The 12,363-nt window shown below is 48.9% G+C and overlaps 1 annotated feature.

Annotated features, from left to right (window-relative positions):
- Positions 4,704-4,904: a silencer, noted in NCBI's record as "peak2927 fragment used in MPRA reporter construct". NCBI's record gives its function as "represses an SCP1 promoter by STARR-seq MPRAs in K562 erythroleukemia cells {active_cell/tissue: K562}" and the evidence as "EXISTENCE:reporter gene assay evidence [ECO:0000049][PMID:32103011]".

Genomic DNA, 12,363 nt, shown 5'->3' with positions numbered 1-12,363 from the left:
CATCTTGGAAGTCAGGTGGAAACAATACCTTTGGTTAGGCAGTTCTTTTCCCCGCTTCTCAGTCCCTACTAAACTCCAAACACGTATGTTGCTGCCTCTTCAGCTCATGGTAGGACAGGGCCTGAAAGCAAAAGAACAACTCATTTCTCACGCTTTTTTCTCATAAAGTAGACATGTTGAGAGAGAAAAGCTAAATTAATTTGGAGCTACAGAACAGCTGTTTTAAAGCTATTAAGTTACTATTTCATGAATGTCACATGTTCTGTTTAAGTGGGTCAAAGGAATTCAGTGAATCCATACACCAGGAAACACTTTCACAACATTTAATCATTTGCTAGTTACTTTATCAAAGAGAAAAATTCGCTTTTAATATCCATTTAAGGGCAATAATTAACCAGCTTAGTCACTATGAGTTAATTTTTTTATCTAATACCCTAAATTGAATGATATAAAATATTTTATAATTAGTTTTTTCAGGTTATACAATCATATAATCTAGAGTCAAATAGTTCCATAAGTTGAATAATGTAAAATGCTATTTTTAAAATTTATAAAATATTTTAATTTGTGCACATTAAAATTCATTGCCATTATATTTACGATAAAATGAATGTTAACGACTTGCTTCCAATAGGGATGAAAATAGAACTATGAGAAAAGTGTTATAAAGGTATTTGCATTTTCTTGTGTGTTTAGTGTACATATCACTTTGCATTTCAGAGGTCTTGAAACTGAACAGAACATCAATATTTCACAGCCCTTTTGGATTTCTTGATTTCCATACAATCCTGCTGGATGAATATTAAGAGCGGCTTTTCGTGGGAGGCAGGGACCTTGCGTATTCCCTCAGCTTGGAGAGAATCAGTGACAGCAGTTTTCAACAGTTCACATTGTTTTGGCTTTCTAATTGAAGGTATACTCCATGCTCCACTTGTCCTGCTGGAGCTTACTTCACCATCACCTGGAGCATCCTCTCAGCCCCTGATGTGTATAGAACTTCAGTTTCTCAGGTCCCCCATTGATAATCTGCCATGTTGTGCAGGCATATCCTCTCCTAGCTTAATCATGGTGGAAGGCAAAGGAGAAGCAAAGCAACTTCTTCACAAAGTGGCAGGAAGGAGAAGTAAAAAATGCTGTTTTTTTTTTTTAGACGGAATTTTGCTCTTGTCACCCAGGCTGGAGTGCAATGGCATGATCTCGGCTCACTGCAACCTCCACCTCCAGGGTTCAAGCGATTCTCCTGCCTCAGCCTCCTGAGTATCTGGGATTACAGGCACCTGCCACCACAGCTAATTTATGTATTTTTTTTTTTTTTACTAGAGATGGGGTTTCACCATGTTGGCCAGGCTAGTCTCGAACTCTTGACCTCAGGTGATCCACTGGCCTCGGCCTCCTAAAGCGTTGGGATTATAGGCATGAGCCACCACACCCAGCCGAAAAATGCTATTTTTATCCATGCTAATATTATAGTATGATTACTTTCCCTTTTACATTTTTGTCTTTCCTGGGGTTATTGTTTGTTCATTTATCTGGCTTTTAAATTATTTATTATTAATTTAACCCCAAACTTACTCCAGTTATATAAATCTGCTCTTGATACATTCAAAACAGTGGTGTAAGGTATATGGATATGCTTTGGTCGATAGGCCCAGGTGGATATCCAGGCCTGCATAACTCAGTGAGTTTGGCGCACAAGCGCACATCTCCACTTGTTATATAACCTTTTGGTGTAAGTTCATACTTGGCTCTGAGCCACTATTGTCTGAAAAAGGTATAATTGCCCTGCTAACGCTATACAGGGGCTCTGGGCTCGGCTCAATATGGCTTGACATGGAGCGTGTGTTGACGCCCAAAGAGAGAGAGAGCCAAAGCTGTCTGTCTTGCAGACTGATAGGAGGGAGCCATGACGCAGTTCAGCTTGCTCGTGTCCAGAGAGAAAAAGAGTTAAGCTGCTGACCCTAAAGGCAAGGGAGAGCTGGCCACACAGGTGTGTGTGGGAGTCGCCGGACTAAGCAGCCAAGACAGGGTGGACAGTCTAAAAGAGCTAGTTTGAGTAAGCTGTGTAAGACAGCTGCTGCTAAATAGAACCAAATTCACCTGCCTATGGCCGGCCACCCAGTGTTCTTTCTGCTCATCCACCTACTGCCCTTAGACTTCAGCATGGGCTGGACCCAGACCCCAGGATCTAACAACTGGCGACGAGGATGGAAGGAGGTGAGTGGGTCTTCAGCCCCTGAGGGCTCCCGGGACGGCTACGTGGCCGCAGCATGAGCTGTGGTACCCGGTCGCAGTGGTGCTGCTTGGATGAGCCCCAGTGGAAACATGGGAGGCAGTGTACAGATCCCCTATGAGTGTGGAGAAGGCGCTGAATCACCTGGAAATGCACAGCATTGAAAGGAACATACCTTTGCCAGCAGAGTCAGATGGGCATTTGCGACTATGCTGAGGGAAATGAATGCCCAATCCCTGCAGGATGCAGCGCAGGGAGGAGGAACCTCCGTTGCAGGCTTGCCCGGTAGTCCGTCAGAAAATAGAGCATGAACAGCTGTTGGGCCCCAAGAGGAGGCCCAGAGACCCCCCATCGTGGTGGAACACATTTCCTATGGTGCCTGTGTCCCCGCTGAATTGAGGGAGTTAAGCAACTAATGTCGCCAGTTGTGTACAGACTTAGTGCAAGTCATTCGGGAGAAGGACATTGCTGCGCAACCTAGTCCTACTCGAGCATTCCAGTTCAAAGAGTACCTGCTGCAGTTGGCGGAAGTGTAAAGCCTTTTCTGCTTGATAAGAGAACTGGCCAAGGTGCCGGCTTGCGGGGCACTGGAAAACCAGAGCCACATGTGGATTTGGCAATCCACTGGTCTCTGAACCCGGATAAGTTTCCGGGCAGAGCCGCATGAACAGCTATGAAAGTTGGTCAGTGAAAGTAAAACCTGTGTCTTTGCATCTTGGCATCCGCTGCTTGGCTCTCCACTTATGCACTGTGTATGTGTCTCACATACCTGAAGACATTCTGGGGGTGGATGTTTTGCACGGCTTGGCAGCTGTATTGTCTGTCACGGACTTGCCGACCGCTTGACAACGGAACTGGGACTTCTTGTCCAGAGAGCCAGGAACAGTTTGCCTTCATGGGAGGGCAACAATGGACTTTTTCTTTTTTCTTTTTCTTTTTTTTTTTTTTTTTTGAGATGGAGTCTTGCTCTGTCGCCCAGGCTGGAGTGCAGGGCACGATCTCAGCTCCCTGCGACCTCCGCCACCTGGGTTCAAGCAATTCTCCTGCCTCAGCCTCCTGAGTAGTAGTCCTAATGCAAGATGAGGCCATGAGGCCTGAGGCACCCCTAGACCTAAGCCTTCACCATTAGGAAGCACACCCCCCCATTCCTAATAGGGTATCGTGTACAAGTGGGTCCAGCTGGGGTGCTACTGCTGCCTGGACTGCTGGTGCAGTCCAGGCTAGTACTGACATCATATGGTTTGAAAGCAGGTATGGGCAAAGTGGTTAATAAGCTAAACTCAAGGCAGTGTGAATGGTAATCACCAAGGAGGTGACACCTAAGGTAATCTGCGCCAGTAGCTGGGCAGTTTATCATAGCTTATGTATGCAAGGGGCCTGCGTACCCAGAAGCTTATGTATGTATCGGGCTTGTGTGCCCAAGGCTTGTGTGTCAGGCTTATGTGTCAAGCCTGTGTATGTATTGGGCCTGCATGCCCAAAGTTTATATGTCAGGCCTGTATGCCAAACCTGTGGATCAAACCTGTGTGTCCAAGGCATATGTCTCGTTTGGCCTAGGGGGTGGAGTGTAAGGTACATATGGATGTGCTTTGGTCAAGGAACAGGCCGAGGTGGATATCCAAGGCCTGCGTAACTCAGTGAGTTTGGTGCGCAGGCGCACACCTTCACTTGTTATATAACTTGTTTGTGTTAAGTTCATACTTGGCTCTGAGCCACTATTGTCTGCCCTGTTAATGCTGTACGGGGGACCTGGGGGCTTGGCTCGGCTCAACATGGCTTGACATGGGGGATGCACTGGCACCCAGAGAAAGAGAGACAGAGAGAGCCAAAGCTGTCCATTTTACAGATGGACAGGAGGGAGCCAGGACACAGCTTGGCTTGCTCATGCCCAGAGAGAAAAAGAGTTAAGCTGCTGACCCTGAAGGCAAGGGAAAGCCTGCTGCACAGGTGTATGTGGGAGCCACCAGACTAAGCAGTTGAGACAGGGTGGACAATGTAAAAGAGCTAGTTTGAGTAAACCGTGTAAGAGAGCTGCTGCTAAATAAAACCATATTCACCTGCCTACAGCCCATCAAGTGTTCTTTCTGCTCATCCACCCACTCCCCTCAGACTTCAGCATGGCTGGACCCAGACACCAGGATCTAACAAGTGTTTTTCTAGCAATCATAATCTATTAATTGAATCTTTCTTTGGAAATCTCTTCCAGACCCTTCTGGCCTGCTCCAATCTGTATTGGTTCCTCTCTAGGCCTATACCACTGTCTCATTGGTATCTCCCTTTACAACCATCCTAGTGGTTTACTTTATACCACTCTTTTGGTTGTACCCTTCATTTTGTGTCATATTTTTCCTCCTGCTTGGTTTACTCCTTATTTTGGAGGAGCCATCCCTGGCAGCTTCCTAAATTTTAAAAATATTTTACTTTTTTTTTTTTTTTTTTTTTAGAGACAGGCTGTTGCTATGTTCCCTGGGCTGACCTCAAACTCCCGGGCTCAAGGGATCCTCCTGTGTAAGGAACATGGCTGCAATGCAGCGAGGCAGGCATGGGCCAAGGTAAACATCCCACATGACTCAGCAAGTTTGGAGTGCAGGTGCATAACTTTGCTTGTTATATAATCACAGCTACATAGGCATAACATGGGAAGGCTCATCACTTGGCTTGGAGCCACTATTGTCTGTAAAAGGTATAACTGCCCTGCTGATGTTGTACAGGCATGCTCTTGCCCAGAGAGAGAAAGTGTTAAGCTTCTGACCCTGTAGAGACAGCTGGCTTTGCAGCTGTGTGTGGGAGTGGCAGGAGTCACAGAGCCAGAACAGGTAGCTGAGACAGAGACAGACAGTGTAAGAGAGCTGCTGAATGAAACCATCTTTCACCTGCCTATGGCCCCTTGAGTGTTCTTTCAGCTATATAAGATGGGGGTCTCACCATGTTGCCCAGGCTGGTCTCAAAATCCTGGGCTCAGGTGATCCTCCCACCTTGGCATCCCAAAGTTAGGTATTACAGGTGTGAGCCACCATGCCTGAACTCCATCTTGAAGGTAGAACTAACAAGATTTACTGATAGGTAGAAGGTGGTGGGGTGTGAGAAAGAGAGGAATTGAAGATAATTCCAAGTGAGTCTGGTGACTTTTCCATATTCCAAAGATAAAAAGAAACTCATAACTTTTCATGTTTTCTCATATGCAGCAATAGATACAAAAAGACAGTGGAGCAGTGTTTCCTGTTTTAGGGGAAAAGGATCACAATTTTACACTAGTATGCTTGACTCTCTTTGAAATGGCAATTTACCTAGGCAGCCAGAGAGATTGGCTAGCTGAGATCCAACTAATTTTAGGCAACTACAACAAACAAGAAGAGAGAGAATTGGGGACAAAAAGAGAAAGACTCAGCACAACAGTCAAATCACATCAGCGAAGTCCCTTAAGCCTCCACCACTTCCCTTGCTTTCTTGCTCCGGCAGGGTCTTAGCTTGTCAGCCAGTTCCATGGCCACTCATCATACTCAGGGTGAAACTGGCCAGCAGAATGCTGCAGCCTTGGGGTGGGAGGCCTAGCTCAAGCGAAATTGAATAGCCCAGTAACTGACAAGTTTTGAGGGAGTGCAAACCATCTATCAACAGATATTTTTTTTCCCTTAAGAAAGAAGAACTGTAGCAAAATGACAGATGAATTACAATAAAAAGCTCAAAAAAGGGCAGGGGTGATATATAAGAAACAGTGATGAGTAGGCGGGGCGCAGTGGCTCACGCCTGTAATCCCAGCACTTTGGGAGGCCAAGGCCGGCAGATCACGAGGTCAGAATATAGAGACCATCCTGGCCAACATGGTGAACCTCGTCTCTACTAAAAATACAAAAATTAGCTGGGTGTGGTGAAATGTGCCTGTAATTCCAGCTACTCAGGAGGCTGAGGCAGGAGAATTGCTTGAACCCGGGAGGAGGAGGTTGCAGTGAGCCAAGATCCCGCCACTGCACTCCAGCCTGGTGACAGAGCGAGATTCTGTCTCAAAAAAAAAAAAAAAAAAAAAAAGAGGCCGCGGGCGGTGGCTCTCGCCTGTAATTCCAGCACTTTGGGAGGCTGAGTGGGGAAGATCATGAGGTCAGGAGTTTGAGACCAGCCTGGCCAACATGGCACAACACTGTCTTTACTAAAAATACAAAAATTAGCCGGGCATGGTGGCGAGTGCCTGTAATCCCAGCTACTCAGGAGGCTGAGGCAGGAGAATTGCTTGAACCCGGGAGGTGGAGGTTGCAGTGAGCCAAGACCACACCATTGCACTCCAGCCTGGGTGACAAGAGCAAGACTCTGTCTCAAAAAAAAAAAAAAAAAAAGAAAAGAAAAAGAAACAGTGATGAGTAAAGAAACTGACAATGTTTACAGCTGTATAGATTAAATAGTTGTTGATAGTGGTTTTGATGTTTAGTGCAATTTGTCAGAAAAGATTCTTAGAAGAGACTTAATAAGAAAGATGAATAACAATGTTGAACTAAATCACAACAAAAGTGGAAGTGAGTTATAAGGCAGAGGAGAAAGAAAATCTTGCTAAAGATTTTCTGTAGCAAGTAAAATTATAGGGGAGCAAAATTATAGCTACTGTTTCCTGATGGTCATTAAAAATATTGGGCAGAGCGTGGTGGCTCACGCCTATAATCCCAGCACTTTGGAAGGCGGAGGCAGGAGGATCACTTGAGCCCAGGAGTTTGAGACCAGCCTGGGCAACATGGCGAAACTCTGTCACTACAAAAAATACAAACATTAGCTGGGTGTGGTGACATGTGCCTGAAGTTCCAGCTACTAGGGAGGCTGAGGTAGAAGGATCACCTGTGCCCAGGAGGTGGAGGTTGCAGTGAGCTGTGATCACCCCACTGTACTCCAGCCTGAGTGACAGAGCCTCATCCTGTCTCAAAAAAAGAAAAAAAAAAGAAAAAGAAAAAGAAAAAAAGTAAAAAAAAAAAAAAAAAAGAAAGAAACCAGTGACCCATAACATAATTGTTAACAATTTATAGGTAACCAATTGTAAAAGAGAAAAAGAATTAAAACAGAAAATGCAAACCCAAATGACCACAGGGGCCAGAAGGGTAATGTGGAAATGGATATTTTTACTTTTATTTCTTGAAATATGGCTCTCTTGGTCTTCAATAAAAGTAATAGAGTCATGGAAACAGATATTCTACCATAAGAAAAAAATAGTGCAAGGAGAGACCATAAATATAAACTAAAATTCTCTCCACTTTGGAAAAATAACATAGAATGGGGGGCACTGTGGTGAACCAGCGGGTACATACCCCATCTAAAGGGGCCAGCCACCACTCAGTGATGTGAGATTAAGGGGCCTCACATTATAGATCCTCTAATTTTTAAAGTGTGGATACACAACTTAATTTCTATGTAAAAGATCCAGATTTCAAAACGTTGGATCAGCCATGTGTGGTGGTGCACACCTGTAGTCCCAGCTACTCAGGAAGCCAAGGTGGGAAGGATCCTTTGAGCTTAGGAGTCAGAGGCTTCAGTGAGCTATGATCATGTAGTAAATTCTCCCAAAGTCAAAGTCATGTTGAGAAAAGAAAAAAATCCCAGCCATTTACAATTTACATAAGATATACCTAAAACAACATTACTAAAAGAGTTTGATAATACTGGGAAGTGTTTCTATTAAAGCAAATGCTAACATAAAGAAGGCTATTGTGGCTAAGATGATAAGGAACTGTATTGGCTCATATAACTAGAAGGTTAAAGTTAAGGAGGGGTTTATGGTTATTTATTTCAGTAGCTCAATAATTTCACCAAGGACGCAATTTATTAGGTCCATCTGATTTGCTATCTACAATATTATATTCACCCTAAAGTTGGCTTTTATTTTTTTGGAGACAGGGTCTTGCTCTGTTGCCCAGGCTGGAGTGCAGTGGTGCAATCACGGCTTGCTGCAGCCTTGACCTCCCAGGCTCAAGCGATCCTCTTACCTCAGCCTCCTGAGTAGCTGCTACCACAGGCATGTGGCACTATGCCCAGCTCATTTTTGTATTTTTTGTGGAGACAAGGTTTCCCCATGTTTCACAGGCTGATTTCAAACTCCTGGCCTCAAGCCATCTGCCTGCCATGGCCTTCCCAAGTGCTGAGATTACAGGAATTAGCCACCACACCCAGCCACTTTCTTTCTTAAGACTCATCAAGTGCACTAATGAGGGCTTTATTTATAATGATGGCTGCCAGCCACACTTTGAACATAGGTTTTCATGTTTATGGGTAGTAGAAGAGAGCTATTCACCCAGCTGTTTATAAGTCTGTCCCTGGGTCTAATTAGGACAATTTCATAACATACCTATTCTTGAACCAGCAAAGTTCACAGGGGAATGCCACATGCTGATAGGCTTAGGTTTGGATTCCTAAACTAATCTTGTATTAGTTATCTCTTGCCACATAACAAATTATCTAAACACTTAGTGGCTTATGGCTGAGCATGGTGGCTCATGCCCGTAATGTCAGCATTTTGAGAGGCCAAGGCAGGCAGATCACCTGAAGTCAGGAGTTCAAGATCAGCCTGACCAACATGGTGAAACTCTGTCTCTACTAAAAATACAAAAATTAGCTCGGCATGGTGGCGCACTCCTGTAGTCCTAGCTACTTGGGAGGCTGAGTTGGGAGGATTGCTTAAGTCCGGGAGGTGGAAGTTTTAGTGAGTTGAGATCGTGCCACTGCACTCCAGCCTGGGCGATAGGGTGAGACTCTATCTCAAAAACAAACAAACAAACAAACAAAAAACTTAGTGGCTTAAAACAACAACAAACATTTATTATCTCTCAAAGTTTCTGTGGTCAGGAACAGATTAGCTGAGCAGTTCTGGCTCAGGATCACTCATGAGGATGCAATAAAGATGTCATCTGAAGGCTTGACTGAGGCTGGAGTATCCACTGTCAAAGTGGCTAACTCCAGCCAGGCACAGTGGCTCATGCCTGTAATCTCAGCACTTTGGGAGGCTGAGGCAGGTGGATTGCTTGAGCCCAGGAGTTTGAGACCAGCCTGGGCAACATGGCAAAACCCTGTTTCTACAAAAAATGCAAAAACTAGCCAGATGTGGTGGTGTGCACCTGTCCTGGCTACTCAGAAGGCTGAGGTGAGAGGATCACCTGAGCCTGGGAGGTGGAGGTTGCAGTGAGTGGAGATCATGCCACTGCACTCCAGCTTGAGTGACAGAGTGAGACCCTGTTTCAAAACAAACAAACAAACAAATGAAAAACCCCAAAGTGGTTCACTCACATGGCTGATGCCCTAGTTGTTCTTCACAAGGTCCTCTCCTCAAGGCTGCTTGGGTGGCCTCACAATATGGTGGCTGCCTTCCCCCAGAGTGAGTGATTCAAGAAAGAGGGTACTGAGTGGAAGCTATGTCCTTGGAAGTAACACAGCATCACTTCCACCATATTCTATTTGTCAGGTGTGAGTCACAGTAGAGAAAGGGAACCTCTCTTTCCCAGTAGTTTTAACTAAAGTTCCAGAATTGATTCCCATTAGCCTTGCCAGGTTCATCATCACCCTGGCCATGCCTGGCTCTTGGCCAGTCTCTGGAGCTGAGAGGTGGGCTCAGTCCCATCTGAAACACATGAATGGAAATTGGAAGAGAGATAGCTCCCCAAAGGGAAATCAGGTGGTGTTACCAGAAGAAAGAATAGATACTAGATGAGCAAAAATAAAAGATGTCCACTATAATGCCTCAATGTTATTGGAAATCTTTACAGCAATTGCACATTACTTCATGAAAAAAAAATTTTTTTTTTAATTTGTTTTTTTATTGATAATTTTTGGGTGTTTCTCACAGAGGGGGATTTGGCAGGGTCATGGGACAATAGTGGAGGGAAGGTCAGCAGATAAACAAGTGAACAAAGGTCTCTGGTTTTCCTAGGCAGAGGACCCTGCGGCCTTCCGCAGTGTTTGTGTCCCTGATTACTTGAGATTAGGGATTGGTGATGACTCTTAACGAGCATGCTGCCTTCAAGCATCTGTTTAACAAAGCACATCTTGCACCGCCCTTAATCCATTTAACCCTGAGTGGACACAGCACATGTTTCAGAGAGCACAGGGTTGGGGGCAAGGTCACAGATCAACAGGATCCCAAGGCAGAGGAATTTTTCTTAGTGCAGAACAAAATGAAAAGTCTCCCATGTCTACCTCCTTCTACACAGACACGGCAACCATCCAATTTCTCAATCCTTTCCCCACCTTTCCCGCCTTTCTATTCCACAAAGCCACCATTGTCATCATGGCCCGTTCTCAATGAGCCGTTGGGCACACCTCCCAGACGGGGTGGTGGCCGGGCAGAGGGGCTCCTCACTTCCCAGTAGGGGCGGCCGGGCAGAGGCGCCCCTCACCTCCCAGACGGGGCGGCTGGCCGGGCAGGGGGGCTGACCCCCCCCACCTCCCTCCCGGACGGGGCGGCTGGCCGGGCGGGGGGCCAACACCCCCACCTCCCTCCCGGACGGGGCGGCTGGCCGGGCGGGGGGCCGACACCCCCACCTCCCTCCCGGACGGGGCGGCTGGCCGGGCGGGGGGCCGACACCCCCACCTCCCTCCAGGACGGGGCGGCTGGCCGGGCAGAGGGGCTCCTCACTTCCCAGTAGGGGCGGCTGGGCAGAGGCGCCCCTCACCTCCCAGACGGGGCGGCTGGCCGGGCGGAGGGCTGACCCCCCCACCTCCCTCCCGGACAGGGCGGCTGGCCGGGCGGGGGGCTGACCCCCCAACCTCCCTCCCGGACGGGGCAGCTGGCCGGGCAGAGGGGCTCCTCACTTCCCAGTAGGGGCGGCTGGGCAGAGGCGCCCCTCACCTCCCAGACGGGGCGGCTGGCCGGGCGGAGGGCTGACCCCCCCACCTCCCTCCCGGACAGGGTGGCTGGCCAGGCGGGGGGCTGACCCCCCCACCTCCCTCCCGGACGGGGCGGCTGGCCGGGTGGGGGGGCTGACCCCCCCATCTCCCTCCAGGACGGGGTGGCTGGCCGGGCTGAGGGGCTCCTCACTTCCCAGTAGGGGCGGCCGGGCAGAGGCGCCCCTCACCTCCCGGACGGGGCGGCTGGCCGGGCAGGGGGCTGACCCCCCCACCTCCCTTCCGGACGGCACGGCTGGCCAGGCGGGGGGCTGACCCCCCCACCTCCCTCCCGGACGGCACGGCTGGCCAGGCGGGGGGCTGACCCCCCCACCTCCCTCCCGGATGGGGCGGCTGGCCGGGTGGGGGGCTGACCCCCCCCACCTCCCTCCCGGACGGGGTGGCTGCCGGGCGGAGACGCTCCTCACTTCCCAGATGGGGTGGCTGCCGGGCGGAGAGGCTCCTCACTTCTCAGACGGGGCAGCTGCCGGGCGGAGGGGCTCCTCACTTCTCAGACGGGGTGGTTGCCAGGCAGAGGGTCTCCTCACTTCTCAGACGGGGCGGCCGGGCAGAGACGCTCCTCACCTCCCAGACGGGGTCTCGGCAGGGCAGAGGCACTCCTCACATCCCAGATGGGGCGGCGGGGCAGAGGCGCTCCCCACATCTCAGACGATGGGCGGGCGGGCAGAGACGCTCCTCACTTCCTAGATGTGATGGCGGCTGGGAAGAGGCGCTCCTCACTTCCTAGATGGGATGGCGGCCGGGCGGAGACGCTCCTCACTTTCCAGACTGGGCAGCCAGGCAGAGGGGCTCCTCACATCCCAGACGATGGGTGGCCAGGCAGAGACACTCCTCACTTCCCAGACGGGGTGGCGGCCGGGCAGAGGCTGCAATCTCGGCACTTTGGGAGGCCAAGGCAGGCGGCTGCTCCTTGCCCTCGGGCCCCGCGGGGCCCGTCCGCTCCTCCAGCCGCTGCCTCCCGGGCGGCGCTCGCCGGCGCGGCGGCAAAGACTGAGACAGCTCCGCTGCCCGCTGAACTCCATCCTCCCGGCGGTCGGGCGGCGGCGGCTGCGGTCGAAAAAATTTAATAATACGAAAAATTAAAGATATTAATAGTGATTATCTCTGCATGGCACTTTCCTTCTAGTTTGCTATTTATTCCAAATTTCTGTTCATGAGTATGTATTACTTTTATAATCAGAAAATAAAAATAACTATTGTTTTCTAAAAGGTAAAATTCACCACCATGAAAGTGGAAACAGGATACAGTACTTCTGGCCAGGTGTGGT

Source organism: Homo sapiens, chromosome 17, assembly GCF_000001405.40.
Source record: "Homo sapiens chromosome 17, GRCh38.p14 Primary Assembly".
NCBI classification, from domain to species: domain Eukaryota; kingdom Metazoa; phylum Chordata; class Mammalia; order Primates; family Hominidae; genus Homo; species Homo sapiens.
Note: the sequence above shows the minus strand (reverse complement) of the source record. Positions and strands in the feature narration are given on the sequence as shown.